Source organism: Homo sapiens, chromosome 4 (assembly GCF_000001405.40).
Source record: "Homo sapiens chromosome 4, GRCh38.p14 Primary Assembly".
In the NCBI taxonomy this organism is placed as follows: domain Eukaryota; kingdom Metazoa; phylum Chordata; class Mammalia; order Primates; family Hominidae; genus Homo; species Homo sapiens.
The window spans coordinates 185,901,538-185,920,290 of NC_000004.12; the positions used below are offsets into that span (position 1 = coordinate 185,901,538).

Below are 18,753 nucleotides of genomic sequence, written 5' to 3' on the forward strand. Positions count from 1 at the left end.
CAGAAATATTTTAAAAATATCAAGGGGCTGTTTGGGGGTTATTCTATATTTATACTAATCACCCAAATACTCATGTCTATAGAGCTTTTAACAATTGGAATTTCTTACAATGAATTATAATATCTTTGATTAGCATACAAAGATAAATTTATATTTGCTAAATTATTCTCATTAAGGCAAATGTTGAAATAATTATCAGGGTTTCGAACAATGAATTACAAGCTCCTTAGCAGAGCAAAATATATGTGAATTTACTGGACAAGTCTTATGAAGACAAGTACTGAAACTAACAAGCTATTAAAGCTAAAGTTAAGTTGGTCAGAAAATTCATGTAACCAAATCATTTGAAACCTGAGTTTTGTGGTTAAAAAGCAGGCTTTCTGTTAATTTAATTTAACTTAATTTCTGTTGAGTCTTCTGTTTTATAAAATATGAAATAGCAGCCCCTTAGTAAAAATAAAGTATAGAAATCATAAGAAAGATCTACTATAAAAAAGGCTATTAAGTAGATTATTGATAAATCAGAACTATTACTTGATTAGTTTGTTCTCTTCTTTGTGAATTACAGCAGGAAATAGTATTTTAAAAGCATATTAGTATACTTCTATCCATTCTTCAAAATCTGGGTTAAAAATGTTTCTTGTGATATCACTGCTGAAGAAAATATCACTTTGAAATATTACTTTTTTAAAGTTCAGTTTCTGAGTCCTACTTTTAATACTTGAAGACACAATGACAATTTTAAATTTTTTATTTATATATTTTCTAGTATATTAGGATGAGTAAGAATTAATTAAAATATTAGAGGCTGTAGGGTCTAAAATAGTTATTAAGGACAATATGGAAAGACCATCTTTCAGAAGGCTGAAATTGAAAAGGAAGCAATTCCAGCTGTGCAGTTGGAGAGTAAATGGCCTGTGAAGTAACTGAACCAAGTTCCTCAACATCTTAAGGTGAGGGCATTTTCAAATTGTGAAAAATCCTTATTATGAAATTAGAGTTTTATTACATGAATCTTTTGATCAGTTGTCATCTTGGGAAGACTAACTTCAATAATTGGTCTGGAGAGAGGATGGGGCAAAAACTTACATGGGGAATTCTATAGCCTCTGTGTGAGGAAGAGGTTAGAGATAAAAATGGTGTTTTTACTTAAAAAAAAAAAAAAAAGAAAAAGAAAGGAGCAACATGCATGTTCAGTCCTGATTGCTTTCTGGATCTTGCTAAAGCTGCTAGAACATTTCCTGTGTTATCGATTTTGTATATTACCTCAGTTCACCTCTGCTGACAGCAGTTGGTTTAGCTGCACTGGGATTCATCCAATATTCCCAACCGTGATGTTAATTCTATGGCAAAGTAAATAAAAGCTCTGTTCTGACGTCATAATCGCTGAGTTGGAACCTGGCTTTGCCACAGGCATGCCTTCACAGAAGTCACTTAACTAAGTCTAGGTTCCTCATCTGTGAACTGAGAAAACTAAAAGCACTGATTCCATGGGGTGCTGTGAGTATTAAGTCCATGGAAGGTTCTCAGGGGGTGCCTTCCCGGAGCAAAATATGCATGTAACAAATATCAGCCATCATTATTTCTACTAAAGCACTGAAAGAAACACAACTAAAAGACCTAAAACACAGCTTTATATTTTATAGTGATTTTGGGGGGGCATGCCATAGGAAATGATTTGATATCTGTAGATTTTAAAGTCAAAATGTTTCATGGCTAATTGAGAAAAATCTTGGGCTCTTTAAGATTAGTGTGAGGTTTAGAGATAATAAATGTAAAGCATGTGACATAGTGCCTGACAGATACTCAGTAAGTTGTAGGAGGTTCTATTATTACCAATATCATCATGATTCATACATTTCTTTTCTCTCCACTTTGGCTTGACATGTGGATACATGAGGCCAGTAGGAAGAAGTCACCCATGACTATCTGGAACAACATTGTGGGGAAGGCCAAGTTTCTGGTCAGTACAGAGCCTTCAAAATTCCTTTCCCCTCAAAAAGAGGGGTCCCTCTGATACCTGCTTGTCTAGCTCTCCCCCCTGCCACCGCCAGATATGTTTTTTTGGAATGCATTCGTTAAATAATGAAATAATTGAGTTCCATGTATTCTCTTCAGGCTATGTCTTTGCATTTGGACTGATAATTCATTAAGCCAGGATAACGATGGAATGGCCTATGTGGGTAGCTGTAAGGACCCTGTGATGATCTTTCCGAGTTTCAGATTGCACGATAACCTTGAAACTTACAAACCTGGCTTTGGTTGTAAAGGATTCATGTTCAAGGGAACTACTGAATGGAAGTTATCAAAAGTATTAAAATCAACAGAGCATGCAGAGAACTACAGGATAATTACTGTGGCATTCTGTTAAGATCATACTTGACTTAGAAAACTAGTGGCCTGTAGATTCGGTCTTATTTGCCCTCCAAGAATACTTATACAGCAAAAATACCCATTCCTCTGGAAATTTACTCTCTTGGCAATTGCATAATTATTATTATTTTTTAATCTAGAAACCACCGTACATTCATTTAAAACTACTTTGAGATAGGAATTTTACTTACCTGAGAACTGTGGTCTCTTATCATGACTTCAGTTTTCTAAATTTAACTTATGGATGTATAATCTTATTAATTAACTGTGAACATGGTTTCTGAGAGAAAAAGACCTGCCTAATGTCTACCACCCTTACAGTATAAGAGCAGCAGGATCTTCGTCTGTGTGCGGGAAGGAACGTCACAGGATTGGGACTATGTATTTGTGCACTTTAGAAATGGGGACAGAGGCTGGGAGGAAGATCTAAGTTCATTGAAGGTGTGTCCCACCTTACTCCAGGGGTAGTGGATGGACTTGAAAGCTGGACAGAAGAATCATCTTACTGGGTGGCAGTGGCCTCTTCAGGCTTTGGACTGTGGAGAGACACCTGCCTCTCTGTAAGAACGGTAAAAAGCCTCCCTGCCTGTGGTACTTGGCCTGTATGTAATATCTCAAAGGCGGTTAGGAACAGGAAGAAAGTTCCTCTGACTTGGTGTTTCCCTGAAATGCTGATTAGATAAATAACAGTGCATGCCGCACAATGACAAAAGCAACTTATAAACATCAAGGGTTATGTGAGGCAACCGTACATCTGATTTTGGTATTGTGGTATTTGATATTTCAAGAGACTAAAATAAAAGAGAAAGTATAAAAATAAGCAGTTTCCCAGGGAGTTATGGCAAAGCTCAGGACATCAAACGAGACTGAACCAAGTGAGAAGTGCAACTACCTCCAAGGGTAAAAGAAATAGGCCGGGCGCAGTGGCTCATGCCTGTAATCCCAGCACTTTGGGAGGCTGAGGCAGGTGGATCACCTGAGGTCGGGGGTTCGAGACCAGCCTGACCAACATGGAGAAACCTTGTCTCTACTAAAAATACAAAATTAGCCAGGCGTGGTGGCGCATGCCTATAGTCCCAGCTACTCGGGAAGCTGAGGCAGGACAATCGCTTGAACCTGGGAGGCAGAGGTTGCAGTGAGCCAAGATTGCACCACTGCACTCCAGCCTGGGCAACAAGAGTGAAACTCTGTCAAAAAAAAAAAAGAAAGAAAGAAAGAAAGAAACAGTGCCAGCCTACCAGACCATCTGAAGTAGTCTGTCTTACTCCAGTGGAGCAGGCTTCCCCAAGCTGGGGGCCAAAAAACCCCAGGGAAACACAGGGTTCATCAAATAATGGCTAAAGTGAGCTCATTTTTATATCTATACAAATATAAACATATACAATACATGTAAATGTACAGATTTGTGTATGTAACAATCATTTAAGGGTGTATGGAAAACTACTTAAATATACTATTTATGGTAGTGTTTTATCTTCTCAAGAGATACTAAAAGCTGTATTATTTTTATACAGAGGTCTACTAAAATGTTTTGGCTCTGAAAAATGACTCTCACTTGCAAATGCTGGAATTTAGAGCAAAACAGTATTCCCTTCCTAAAACAAACATAACAGTCATAACGGTATTCCATTTCTGAAGCATAATGATACACCTATCAAAATGGTTAACATTTGAGTTTGAATTAGGTTGTCATTGTTTCTTCTCTCTCTTTAATACATTTTAAAATATGTTTTTCTACAGGTGCGGTCTTACTAAGTTGCCCAGGCTGGTCTTGTACTCTTGGCCTCAAGCAATCCTCCCACCTCAGCCTCCCAAAGCACTGGGATTACACACATGAGCTACTAGGCCCGGCCTCTTCTGTCTTTTTGTAGGTGTGTTTATGAACTAAGTAGTGACCCAATATGAATTTCCAAGTCAAAGGGAACAACTGCAAGACAAATAAGGTAGTCAGGGCCCTTCAAACAAAAATAAGTGCCCTGCTGTCATGAGAATCAACACAATCTCCTCTGGGCCCAGCAAAGAGAGGACCCTCTGCCTCCTTCTCATACTCTGTGTGAGCACCAAGTGACCATCCAAACTATTTTAGGGCAGTGCTCAACTGGGGCAGGTCACACCATGTGGTCCACTCCCATTTTTTTTTTGAGACGGAGTCTCGCTCTGTGGCCCAGGCTGGAGTGCAGTGGCACAATCTCAGCTCACTGCAACCTCCGCCTCCTGGGTTCAAGTGATTCTCCTGCCTCAGCCTCCTGAGTAGCTGGGACTACTGGCATGCACCACCATGCCTGGGTAATTTCGTATTTTTAGTAGAGACAGGGTTTCTCCTTGTTGCTCAGGCTGGTCTCAAACTCCTGACCTCAGGTGATCTGCCTGCCTCATCCTCCCAAAGTGCTGGGATTATAGGCCTGAGCCACCACGCCTGGCCTGTTTATTTTTATAAGTAATGATTTGCTTTATGCATCTCCAGATTTAATATGCCACTCTATCCAAAACTGGGAAAATTTTATTTATTTCTCAAAGTTTTTTAAATAAACCCTCTCTACAGACATTAGGAAGTTAATTAGAGATACTTAAGATATTTGGGTCAAAACCAAAACATTTAAAATCATTTTTAGCAGGACCAACTTTTGGTATGAAATAAACACATACTGAAATCATCTGTAAATTTACTATTCATAAACATAGCTTAAGAAAATACCTAACGCAGCACTCTACAATGCAGTGCCCGTGAATGAATAAATGAATGACACCTGCCCACTGTTTATATGATTCCATACGTATCTCGGACTATATGCATGACTCTAATACATGTGAATATGGTATTCTATCTATACGAAAAGACAAAGATCTTTCTTCTAATAAATGAATCTTTTGCTCATTATACCCCAAGTCCCCATTTGGGAGAAGTGATATTTAGGGAGGAATTATTGGGAAGAGGCCGGGCGCAGTGCCTCACGCCTGTAATCCCAGCACTTTGGGAGGCCAAGGCAGGCGGATCACCTGAGGTCAGGAGTTCAAGACCAGCTTGGCCAACATGGCGAAACCCCGTGTCTACTAAAAATAAAATTAAAAAAAGAAATTAGCAGGGTGTGGTGGTGCGAGCCTGTAATCCCAGCTACTCAGGAGGCTGAGGCAGGAGACCAGCTTGAACCTTGGAGGCAGAGGTTGCAGTGAGCTGAGATGGTGCCACTGCACTCCAGCCTGGGTGACAGAGCAAAACTCCATCATAACAAAAAAAAAAAAAAAAGAGGAATGATTGGGAAGATTTGTTGTCCATCTATTCCATCATATGCTCACTTGTCTTGTTGGTTGAAGTCGAACCATGGAATAGAGGATGTTCGGCCAAATTTCCTTGCTACCCTGCTAGTCTGTCTGTCCACCTTAAATGTTTTCGCTGGGTTACCTTTTGGTATTATAATGTTAGCTTTTATAGTAAGAAACTCGTTTAGAGCACTTTAATGTAAAATTCCATATAAGAAATTTATTTTAGAGCTATGAGGTAGAAAAAGCTCGGTTCTCCTGAGGAGGTGTTATTTACCGTCTTTATAACATAATTGTCATGTTTCCATTTTAACTTTGGCCATGAAGAAACACATTTTGTGGCCTGGATGTTTATGTTTAGCTGTTTTTCTGGAGAGCTTTGCTTCTTGCCTCTTTTTATTTTGTTTCTTGATGATGGATATTTTCTTTAAAATCACATATTATCCTTATGTATAATGTGATTTTAGTTTCCGAGGTTTTATTGGTAAGTTAAGCTACCTCAGTTCTTTAGTGGAAAATACAAGGATATAGATGTTATTATAGGTATAGATACGGAACTCTTAGCTAAGCACATGCACTCTCTCTCCCTCCTTCCCTCTCTCCTTCCTGTGCGTGTATTTAAATTGCACAATTCAGTTTAAGTCATTTCCAATCTTCTCCTTGTACAAATGTGCCTTTGGTTTTTAAAGATTCATTAGACCTATGCTTTGTCTTGGTAAACATAACCATATACACAATTGTCTGCCTTTAAGAGAATTGAAACAATCCCAGAATTGTGTTCCCAACATAGCTTAGTATAAGGTGTAATTAAACATTTAAGGACATTTGAGAGGCAACTGTGGAAAACCGACCTGGAGAGGTCATCGGGCAGAGCCATGCTGAGCTCCTCACCACTACCATGCACATTCTCCCAAAACAAGCGCATTCTCAGGATATTGCTTTTGCTTTCTTCTTCTTGATGAGCTGCTTCACACACATTCTATTCTCAAGAACCAACTTCCTACCTGACCTGGCTCCCATCTAACTTAATAAAAAGAAAACCTGTTTTTTATTTCATCTATAGATAAATTATGGTCTGAAATGAACTACTAGTGAACCCATGCAAAGGCTATATATATATATATATATATATATATATATATATATATATATATTTGTATACACACAAATATATATATATACACATATATATACATGTATATATATGTTAGTAAATGGCCACTCGAGGTATAGAAAGTCACCCAAAGACATCACAAAAACTATTTAAATATTTGAAATATAATTGAAACAGGCCTATTCTCAATGAAAAAAAAAAGTGCCACGTTCCCTCTGACTTCTGATTGCTAAATCAAAACGCTTAGAAAGGGTTTGTTGGAAAATGAATCTGTCTGTCGAGTAAACTCAGAGAAGCGCTCAAAGGGATCGCCGAGTAATGATTCTGAAGCTGTACTGTGTTTCCTCAGGAGACAATCTTCTAGACCTCTGAAATGAATGAGTCCTTAACCAAATGAATTTTTGTAAATATTTCTATAAACTAGTAAAAACTTTTAGAGCAAAGGAGTTCATCTCAGGAGAGTAAGATATAGGAGACCCACAATGATGGAGGCTCTGTTCTATCAAGACACAAAACAGATAGGTTGAGCCATAAAACATGAAACCATAAGGCTCTAAAATATAACCCTTGCATAACATATAAAAATATATGAATATATGCATTATACATGTACTTTATATACATGTATTTTTATATAATACATATATAAAAATAAATTTTGTATATTTATATAAATTCAACAATCCCACTACTGGGTTTCTACCCAAAGGAAAAGAAAAAATAAATTTGGTATATTTGTATGAATCCAACAATCCCACCACTGGGTTTCTACCCATAGGAAAAGAAGTCGTTATATCAAAAAGACATCTGCACTCATGTGTTTACTGTAGCAGTACTCACAATGGCAAAGATATGGAATCAACCTAAGTGTCCATCAACAGATGACTGAATAAAGAAAATGTGGTATATATACAATGGAATCCTATTCAGCCATAAAAAATGAAATTATGTTTTTTGCAGCATAATGAATGGAACTGGAGGTCATTACCTTAAGTGAAACAACTCAAAACGTCAAATACTTTATGTTCTCACTTGTAAGTGGGAGCTAAATAATGTGTAAGCATAGACGTAGAATGACAAGCATTGGAGACTCAGAAGGGCTAGGGGTATGTGGGGAGGGGGTGGATGATGAAAGATGACTTAATGGGGACAATGTACATTATCTGGGTGATGGATCTACCAAAAGCCCAGACTTCACCGCTACACAATATATCCACATGACAAAATTACACTCGTACTTCTTAAATTTATATAAATTAAGATAAATAAATAAAAGGGTAAAAAAAAGAAAAAATAAAGTCATTGCATTAAAAATCTTTCAAGCATTGCTTTATCATCGCATAAATGTAGCCAAAGATTCTGAAGAATTATGAGGGCTTCTGTGAAGACATTGTTTCACTGCCACTCAATATAACTTGTGAAAACTTTGGTCAAGAACTCTAAACTAGGAAAACATGCAAAGAAATGTTCACTCATAGCAATATTTGACACAGTTGATTTTTCTGCTGCATTTCTTTTTCTACAAAGAGAAATATTATTCAAAGAGAAAAAATTTGCCAGGCATGGTGGCAGGTGCCTGTAATCCCAGCTACTCAGGAGGATGAGGCAGGAGAATTGCTTGAACCCGGGAGGCGGAGGTTGAAGTGAGCTGAGATCGCTCCACTGCACTCCAGCTTGGGTGACAGAGCTAGACTCCATCTCAGAAAAAAAAAAAAAAAAAAAGAAAAGAAATATATTCCCTTCAATGTCATGCCTGGCTGTGTGTCTGACACTGTTCAAGATCTAATGAAAGGAAATGTTAAGACACACCTAGTATGTGATTCAGCCCAAATTCCAGCCAGGCCAAGGTGGCTCTGCAACTGTGCTCTTTGCCACAAATGACCCTGTGTCCTGCAGAATAAAGGACACTACAAGTAATAGCACTGGAGTACAATGTGTGCCCTATGCATATATTTATAAAATGCTATGGTTCCCACTGACGAGAAGGGCCTGGCCACACCCTACTCCATTTTCAATGCGTTTCCTGTGTTTCTATCTCTTACTGAAAAGAAATGCTGATTTTGTAACAAAGAAGCCTTGCTATCCTTCAAAACCCCTTTATGAAGTTGACTTCATTTTATCCTCTCCATTTCCATCAATACTCCCAACTCTGGAGACTTTCTCCCCATTCCTCTCCTGTCCTCCCTTCTCTCTTGCCTCATATTCAGAACACAGATAGAGCTTGAAGATCATGGCTTCTGGTATGAAACTTTTATTATTCATTTATGTGTTTGTTTGTTTTTTGAGTCTGGGTCTCACTCTCTTTCCCAGGCTGGCGTTCAGTGGCTCAATCATGGCTCACTGCAGGCTCAGCCTCCTTAGCTCAACCTCCTCCCACCTCAGCCTCCTTAGCTCAACCGCCTCCCACCTCAGCCTCCTGAGTCGCCGAGATGGCAGGCATGAGCCAGCACATCTGACTGCAACTTTTATTCTATAACCTAAATCCTGTGGGTATACAAAGATGCAGATATAAACAGGTATCACAGACTGTATTATATATGAGAAATAAAATATTTATAATTTCTCTACATCAGTAAATCAGAATTTAACATTATCCAAATTCCCTTCCAGACTTTTCTCAGGTGCGTGGTTTCAGAGTAGGACTCGTTTCTTATATACAATGCGGTGTTTGATTTTTTAAAAAAAAAAAACTTCCCTTGGAAAATACTAAAACTATTATGCATTGAGTCATTTAATATTCAGAATAACCTCACAAAGCAGGTGTTAACAACTTCCATTTTACCCTTTATAAAATAAAGACTCTAGAGAGATTAGATAAGTAGCTTGTCCAAGTTTACAAACAAGTTTATGCCCTTTCTACTGAGCTACATTTCCTTTATTGTCTTATAACATAAACTTATCTCATATGTCTGATAAAAACTGTCCAAGAGGCTTCAAAATTATGATGATTTTCTTTTCTTTTCGAGACAGAGTCTCGCTCTGTCACCCAGGCTGGAGTGCAGTGGCATGATCATGGCTCACTGCAGCCTTGACCTCCTGGGTTCAAGTGATCTTCTTGCCTCAGCCTCCTGAGTAGCTGGAGCTACAGGTGTGCACCACCATGCCTGGCTAATTTTTTTTATTTTTTGTATAGGTGGAGTCTCACTATATTGCTCAGGCTGGTCTTGAACTCCTGGGCTCAGTCTTCCCACCCCAGCCTCTCAAAGTCCTGGGATTATAAGCATGAGCCACCACGCCCAGCCTGATTTTCTCCTTGAGTGCGCAAGTTTCCCTCTTGGTGGATACACTTAACCGCACTTTAATGGTTCTAAGATACACATTTTAACATCTAAGTCGGGATGTATCTCAAGATCAAGGACAACTGACATTTGCTGTCACGTTGGCCAGGTGGCAGCGGTGACAGACTGGTCACTGCCTGCAGGGGCTTAATATGGTTATAGTTTCAGTGGCACAACTGGGCAACTGTAACTCATTTATGTCAGGTCCACAGATGACAAGGATCTCTTGCAGAAAAAATAGAAGACCTGGCTGGGTTCTGAAAACCTCTTATTGACACATTATTAGATCAAGAAGCAATTAGCATCAACATTCACAGAACAGTTTGTGAGCAACTTGCAGGAAGATCCCAGAGATGGCTGCAGGGCACAGATAAGAAATGCCACATCACTAGTGCTCTCCATGGCACAGAGAAATACTTATGGAAAAACATGGACTTTGATGATTCACAATTGAAAAGTGACTCAGAAGAGCTGGACTTTGTAGGAGAAAAACATTGAAAATAATCTAACCAATTATTTCACTTATTTTTCATTTTCATGTATGCACAAAATGCATGTTTAAATAACCCTAAAAAACTCTTTCAGTAAGTGTAGTTTTTAATTAGCAGTGCTTCTTTCTTTTCTCAGTGGTGTGTAGCTAGCCTCGTACAGGTGACAAAATATAGGTAATTTATTTGAAGCATCTCTTATTGTTTGGCACTCATTATTTTCAAATGTTTGCTATTAAAGATAGATAATGCTAGGCCGGGCATGGTGGCTCATGCCTGTAATCGCAGCACTTTGGAAGGCCGAGGCGGGTGGATCATCTGAGGTCAGGAGTTCGAGACCAGCCTGGCCAACATGGTGAAACCCCGTCTCTACTAAAAATACAAAAATTAGCTGGCTGTGGTGGTGGGCACCTGTAATCCCAGCTACTCAGGTGGCTGAGGCAGGAGAATCGCTTGCACCCAGGAGGTGGAGGTTGCAGTGAGCCGAGATCATGCCACTGCACTGCAGCCTGGGCAACAAGAACGAAACTCCATCTCAAAAAAAAAAAAAAAAAAAAAAAAAAGAGTTTCTATTTTGTCATAGTAGGAGAAAAGGGAAAGGGTATTCAAAACAAGAAGCTGTCACTAAACAAAAAATCATAATTACCTTGAGATCCTGGCAGCTTCTTTGTTAGCCCTCCATTTCACCATGCTAATTATAAAGAAAAGTAAACTTACATTTTTTGCTCTGGAGAACATCAAGCAAAATATTTGATCTGCTGTCTAAGCACCTGATGGTATGAACAATTGGAACTGTTAGACAACAAACAATAGCATTAAACACTCACCTTCCCGTTTCGAATGTTACATAATAAACAGCCGGATACTGCTGACATTAACACCCATTATTGTGCTGCATTAGTTTTATGGGTGCAATAAACACTCCTGGATGATGAACATTTTGTAATTCAAAGAATGACTCATGGAAAATAGTTTTCATTTGCTAAAGTGCTGCAGGGTTGCATTAAAAAATGTCTTGCTGTGCTGAAATTGATTCCATCTGAACGGCAGTTCAAAAGCTACCAGCAACTTTAAAAATGCACAAGGATGTTTTGCTTCTTTCATCTATTTGGGAAAACAGAAGCAACCAAATATAATAATGTTCCTGGGACCCACTGCATGGTTATGTCCTGTTACATAAACAAGCATTATATAAAACAGAGTCATGATTAGCCTATCTTTTTATGGAACAAATAAACATTAACCAAATAAAACCAGTTTTTACCAGATGGCATCCAATAAAATATTACCATTGAGGCTCATTCTGTCCAAACCTTTAAAAAATGTTACCATACCTTGATTTAGGTTGACCTGACAGACCAACATCTGAACTTTTAAAAAAGATTTTACCAAAGGATTCGCTGAGTGATTCTTTCGAGACGAGTCTAAACCAATACAATCAAATAGAATTCAGTTCAAACTGACTGTTTTCTCTGATCGCAATGATTGTGTTAAACGGTAAGACTGAAGAAGTCACTTCCTATTAAACATTTTCTCATTTCGTTTCTTCTTGGGGATTTAATTAAACCAGATTCTGAAGAGGATGGTGACTAGTTGGTTATTGTTAGCAAGACAGGAGTTAGAGCAAATGACATTGTAACACCAGGAATGTCTCTCTTTGAGATTTTAAAACTAGAAGAGATTCTCATTATTCTGGATTTTAGGATGTATGAATGACTCTTCAAAGACTCATTCATTGCAATGGTTTAGTCTGAATGTAATCCCAGGAAAATAAATTTGTTTTTGAGCTCTGAAGATCCAATATCTAAAATGTTGATGTAGAAAACATAATTTAATCTTTATAACATCCCCATGTGGGACATGGTTAGCTCTAGATCACTCTGAATTTTAATCCAGTAGTGCTTCATAAGACCATACACCTTTCTGAAGGGTTTCAGAGCACAAACCTTCAAATATGTTCAGTTATTGACACACAAAGCTTAAAAATAAGAAATTTTGAGTACCAAAACAAGTATGTTTTAAAGTACTCACTCTTCAGTCTGAAATTCCATGATTCTATACCTGGGTTATTTTCACTGTGGACAATAACTAGCTTGCTCTAGCTTTGCCAATGTTGCCACAACCATCTATAAACAAACTCAAAAACTGAAAAATAGAAAACAACACTATATTTTTCATTTTTTCTCTAGGAAAGTTAGAAATAAGTATATTTTCTCTCCTTTCAAGTTCTGAAACAAAAACCCCACTAATCGTGTATACTTGCACTGACTCTTGCCTCAGTAAATCTCAGTTAAGTAATTTGTTACAGTAGCATTTCCTCATTCTGGTATAATTTTTATGTACAGACTGTTTTCATTATTTCACCCTCATAAAAATATACTTTTATAATCTAGCCTACAGAGTTGCTACTCAATCATGTTTCATAACAAGTTCTATAGGTACATACCGGAATGTTATTCACCATTGGCTTAGAATTTAACAGTTTATAAAGGTGCAAATATCTGGGATTTGGGGCTGAAAGGTACTATTATGTTATTACCGTGAACGCACGTTCATTGTAAATACTGTGGTAACCCAGGCCTGAAAGAATCTATGAAGTTAACATTATGCATTTTTTGGGTTTTGAGGTTTCTGAAATGCATCCATCACTCCTGACCAATTGACGTTTACAAATACCACGAGGCCTGACCATCAGGCAGCTTTGTTTTCATTCCCTGCACGGCCCTTGCCCTCTTCCTGTCTCGGCATCTTTATCTAACCTCTGTAACCAGTCACAACTCATTTATTATCATCTGAAAAATAGTGCTGAAATGTTTATACACAATCAATTTGTAATTAATAGGAAATGACTTTATGGGGTCGTTTGATCCCTGCTGGTGGGAGAAAGCCTGGGTTATGTCTAATGGATTTTTTCCATCTCCTTCAGTGGTGACGTGTGGCAAATGGATTGTAAATGAAGATAGACTGTGTAATGAATGACGACACTAAAGACTAATGTGAAGGACTTTAGGGAAAACAAAAGGCTTTCATCTGAAAGGATGATCTGTGGACCAAGGTCACTCATACCACTCACTGCTCATTTTCTCATGTTATTTTAAAACTTTTTTCGGCCTTTATACTGCTTTCAGCAGCATTTGTGTGTAAGAAGTGGACGATGACTTTAATAAAGAGACCCGAATGGAACTGAATGGAGCATTTGTTTTTGAAGCAACTTTTACTGTCCTCAGTTTTATCTCATAGAAGCCTCCCTCCAAGGGCACTGCCATAGACTCACATGTTTCCTCTAATGCCTTGAAAAGCATTTTCCTAAAATGAAGGTCTTGGGAACATTTTACCTGTTGGCCAGAAACCTAAATAGTAATCAGCTCTGAAGGTCATTCTGATGGCATGGAAAAAGCATTGTGCTCTAGAGGAAAAAGCTAACTACGAGGGTAGCCTGGGGAGGACCAGGAGAGTACATACAAACAGGTTTTGCTGCAGTCACACTGCAGACGTTTGACATCTATTTTTCTGCTTTTCCTTTCTACATTTCTCTCATTTCCTTCCCTCTTTCCTTCTCTTTTGTCCTTTCTTCCTTTCTCCCAAAAATATTTATTGGGAATTCCCTATGTGCTACACTTGTACTGGTAAGAAGAAAATTAACAGGTCCTTCTGCCCCCCACCCCCAGCATTAAGTTTAATGAAGGAGAGATATTAATACTCACTCTACTGAATGTATGATTGCAAAGCAAGATAAGTGCTCTGGATTAAAGGAACGTAGCTCTCTAAGAAGGTTAAGTAACACAAAAAAACCTAACCCTGGTAATTTTGAAGATTTGGGATCTTGCAATAAGAAGGTTTGTAGGTGAAGTAATATTTGACCTGGAAACTGAAGACTGTGGTGTTAACCAGACATAAGGAGGCTGGAGGAAGAAGCAGCATAAGCAAAGGGCCCGTGGTCATCAACGATCTGTATGAACTTGTATAGGAAGAAAGCAGAGAGGGAAATGGCAGGTGGATAAGTAAGGAGAAGCGAGATCACAATAGGGTCAAGTGGGTCAGGAAGATACTGAAGGGTTTCCAACTGGAGGAAATTAGAGGGCCACTCAGGGTGCAGTATGAGTCATGGACCGGAGGGAAACAAGAATGGATGCAAGAAGACTGAATTAGGAGGAATTTCAGAGTCCAGGTAGAAGATGGTGGACTTTGATCCAAAATCATTGAAACTAAGAAAACCAGGGGCCTCAGATGTTCTTTGGTCTGTTTTCATCTAAAAACTATTGTATGGATATGGCTGTCCCACCAGGCAGCAACCAGAAGTTAGAGGTGGGAGCATGGCTTGCAGAGTTATTCTGGACATGTCAGTCTCAGTGCCTGTCACGCCCACAGTTGCTTTTGAGTGCAAACCACCCAGTCACCTGCCTGTGAAGCATAGTGAGCCAATTCATTACTAATGATTATCACAGAATCGATCACATTAGCCAACTGACTCAATAGCTGGATTCTTGAAGTGGCCTGGTATAAAAAGAGGACTGGTTTGTGAATAGAGAATTTGACGCCCAAGATACGACACTCCCAGCACATTCATTTTCAACAGTGCTTCTCAATGGTGGCAATTTTACTTCCCAGGGGACATTTTCTGTGTCTGGAGACATTTTTGATTGTCACAACTAGGGAGGTGAGAACTGGCACCTGGTCTGTAGAGGAGAGCGATGCTATTAAACATGCTACAGTGCACAGGCAGCCCCCACCTCCCCCAACAAAGAATTATGTGGCCCCAAATAGTAACAGTGCACAGGTTGACTATACAACTCGTCAAATCCTTAGAATCTGCAAAGGGCTGTCTTTTCGTATGCTAATGAGCTGACTCATGGCTGGCAGCTCCCAGGTAGCTACAGGATGGGGCTGGGTACCAGAAAGACCAAGCCAGGATTAGAGGGTTGGGACTTTTGGCCCCACCCCAACCTCATGGGAGGGTAGAGGGGCTGAAGGTTAAGTGGATCACCAATGGCCAATGGTTTAATTAATCACGCCTATCTAACAAATACTCTATAAAGTCCCTGAGGACAGGGTTTGGGAAGCTTCTGGAGAGCTGAATACATGGAGTTTCCTGGAGGGCGGTGTGGCAGGGAAGGCACAGAAGCTCCGCACCCCTTCCCTCATACCCTGCCCTGTGCGTCTCTTCATCTGTATCCTTTGTATCCTTTTCATTTCTTTGAAACAGGGTCTAACTCTGTTGCCCAGGCTGGAGTGCAGTGGCACGATCTCAGCTCACTGTAACCTCCGCCTCCCGGGCTCAAGGGATCCTCTCACCTCAGCCTCCTGAGTAGCTGGGACTATAGGTGCAAGCCACCATGCCTAGCTCATCTTTTGTGTTTTTTATAGAGACAAGGTTTCGCCATGTTGTCCAGGCTGGTATTGAACTCCTGTCCTCGAGGGATCCACCTGCCTCGGCCTCCCAACCTGCTGGGATTATAGGCATGAGCCACCACTGCTGGCCCATAATATCCTTTATAATAAAACAGCAAATGTTTCCCTGAGTCATGTGAGCCACTCTAGTAAATTAATCAAACCTAAGAAGGGGGACATGGGAACCCCAGCTATAGCCAGCCGGTCAGAAGCACAGGTTATTCAACCTGGGGTTTGCGACTGGTATCAAAAATTGGGGAGAGGCAGACTTGGGACTGAACCTTCAACCTGCGGGATCTGACACTATTTTCAGGTAGACAGCATCAGAATGGTACTGAACTGGGGGACACCCTACTGGTGTCTGCTGCTTGATGAGTGGGGAAAACCTCCCTGACATTTGGTCACTGAAGTCTTCTGTGTTGATTGTCGTGGTGTGAGAGCAGAGGAAAAACAGTTTGTGTTTTTTCCACTCAGATTGAGAAACCCTGACTGTCAACGATAGAACGGGTCAAGACTTCCATGTATTATGAATATGGCAGACAAAATAAAATTCTTAGTTTCATAACGGAAATAAAGGAGAAATGTGATGTTCCGGGAAAGCAGCTGAGACACATTCTAACAGTATAGCTTATTTGCAATACATTGGGTATTTACTCAACCAGTGTTTACTAGGCATCAAACAAACTCAAAATACTTGTTAGAAAAAAAGACAATACCTAAGATGTTTTCACAGATTCACTAATCACCAACATTTCTTTGAATGTAAAAAATCTTATAAAGGTTGTTTGCAGAAATTAAATTAGTAATTTCCCAAATTTGACATGCTATTTGATTCTGTTAGCAGATAATACAACTAACTTTTTTTTGTTCGTACGTTTTCATGGTTACAGAGCTGGAGAAAGAAACGTTATGTATGAGAAAATACTTTGGTTTAAATTGTTTACGAGTAATTTCTCTCATACTGATGTGCTAAATGGCTTCTCTTTGTCCCTCCAGGTCACTCTCCATCTTTTCCGCCAGTGCCCAACTGACTGATCTTTACAGATGGTGTCAACAGATGCATCTACCCTCTGGCTTCAAGTTGAGTTGGCCAATGAAGGGTGAGAGAAAACTGAAGTAGGGTTCTTTATTCACCCAGCCCTTCCCCAAGAGGTCACCACGGCCTCACGGTGGCCCCCATGGCTCATATTAGAGAGACATTTGCGTAGCTCTGTTTCCACTCACCTCTTCCAGCCTAGGGTGGGAGCAGAGCCCCTACAATAGCTCTTGCATTTGCCTTATATCACGGTCACAGCACCGAAAATAGTCTCATTATTAAACTCTCACTGAAGAAGTGTTCTAATTGAATTGGACTATTCTGTGCTGAGAGCCTAATGAGTAGAACTTCTCTAATGATGATGTAGATGTTCATGAAGATTTACAGTTTCCACGTATGTTCACCCAGTACATCACAATGGATGCACAAATGATCTGTATAATATATACATGTAACTGGAATGAGTCCACAGATGCAGCATTTGATGTACAAAAATCTTCACAAAACCAAAGCATAGGGCAGAAGAAAAGCTTTGTAACTCTTTAAATTATAGATGATTCCAGGCATCAGTGTAGTATTTGCATAGCTCTCTTAGAACAAGGGACACTGGGAACTCAGGAAGAATCAGAACTCTTTTCATGAATTTCTTTAGTGCAGTCAAGTTTCCTCTTTTATGAACCAGCATAGTTAACCCATCTTCTAAAGAATTCGTTCATTACCACTTACATAGTTCAATCCCCAGCTTGCTTGGAGATTGAAAAATATCTCTAAGATACTTGATTACATAAGTGTTCTGCCTAGAAATCCCAAAACTCTTACTCTTTTTGCTGTCATAGGAGGCGCTGCGGAAAGTACATGACATTTGCAGTTGTGGGCGACTGTGCTGTGGGATGAAACCAGGCTCCTCATCAAGATGAACATAGATTCAAGTCTCCATCTTAGCCATTTCCTAGTTCTGTGATTATAAATAAACTCCTTGACTTTTCTGAGCCTTAGTTTCATGATCTCTGTAATGAGAATAATATTATCTCTTCCCAAGCATTTGATAATAATTAAGTGAGGTGATATAAACTGCCTAGACCAGTTTTTGACTGTAGAGGTTTTTCTTTCTTTCTTTCTTTACTCTAATTTCACCTCTGGAAAAGCAGTCAAAATGAGAAAAGTCAAACCCGCATCAGAAAAGAAGCAACTTGACACACACATGCAATTAACCCACTTCACCAGGATATGTCACCAAATTGACATCACCAGAAATAGCTGATACAATGGTTTGCTTCACCGTTTATCAGTAATCTCTTATCTTCTCTTTCCTTTTTACTTCGCTCATATCTTATTGTCCTGCTGTCATCTTTTCATGCCATGCATCTCTGGGACACCCAGCCTGAAGTGGCATATATTTGATGCTCAATAATACATGGCAGATGACATAAGATATTGGCTTTGCAAAATCTACCGCTGTTCTGAACTATCATACAAAACAATTAGTTGTTAGTATGCCATCTTTCTTATTAATCTTCCTCAATAATATGAATAATCTTAATATTTCCATTTAAGAAAAATGCAAGCTATATGTTATTCTCATTTGACAAAAAAATTATTCTAAGAGGAAACATTGGAAAATGAGTTTCAAAATAGTGGTACACAAATTTGATTCTATGTCAAATGGTTTTAAATATAAAAGTAGCATAATCATCAGGAGAGGACTTTAAAATTCACTCTTTCTACAGATCTTGAATGGCCAGATAAAAATCAGAACTCCAACCAGTTCCCACCATCTCTGATGTGAGCTCCTATTTTGTGTGCCGGATGACTCAGTGG

At 39.2% G+C, this 18,753-nt stretch overlaps 1 protein-coding gene and 1 long non-coding RNA gene across 13 annotated transcripts in view; one reads left to right on the forward strand and one right to left on the reverse strand.

The window, feature by feature from the left end:
- Positions 1-18,753, reverse strand: part of SORBS2 (sorbin and SH3 domain containing 2) — a 370,850-nt gene that overhangs the window by 316,015 nt on the left and 36,082 nt on the right. The gene's annotated exons all lie outside the window — the stretch shown is intronic.
- On the forward strand, positions 1,414-17,924 carry LOC101928929 (uncharacterized). Of its 3 annotated transcripts, XR_939583.3 has the most exons (4): positions 1,414-1,500; positions 1,906-1,963; positions 16,896-16,999; positions 17,772-17,924. It is a non-coding gene; the product is annotated as an uncharacterized LOC101928929 (long non-coding RNA). The 3 variants fall into 3 exon arrangements; XR_244774.5 differs by lacking the exons at positions 16,896-16,999; positions 17,772-17,924 and adding an exon at positions 13,438-13,522; XR_939584.3 differs by lacking the exons at positions 16,896-16,999; positions 17,772-17,924 and adding an exon at positions 2,119-2,172.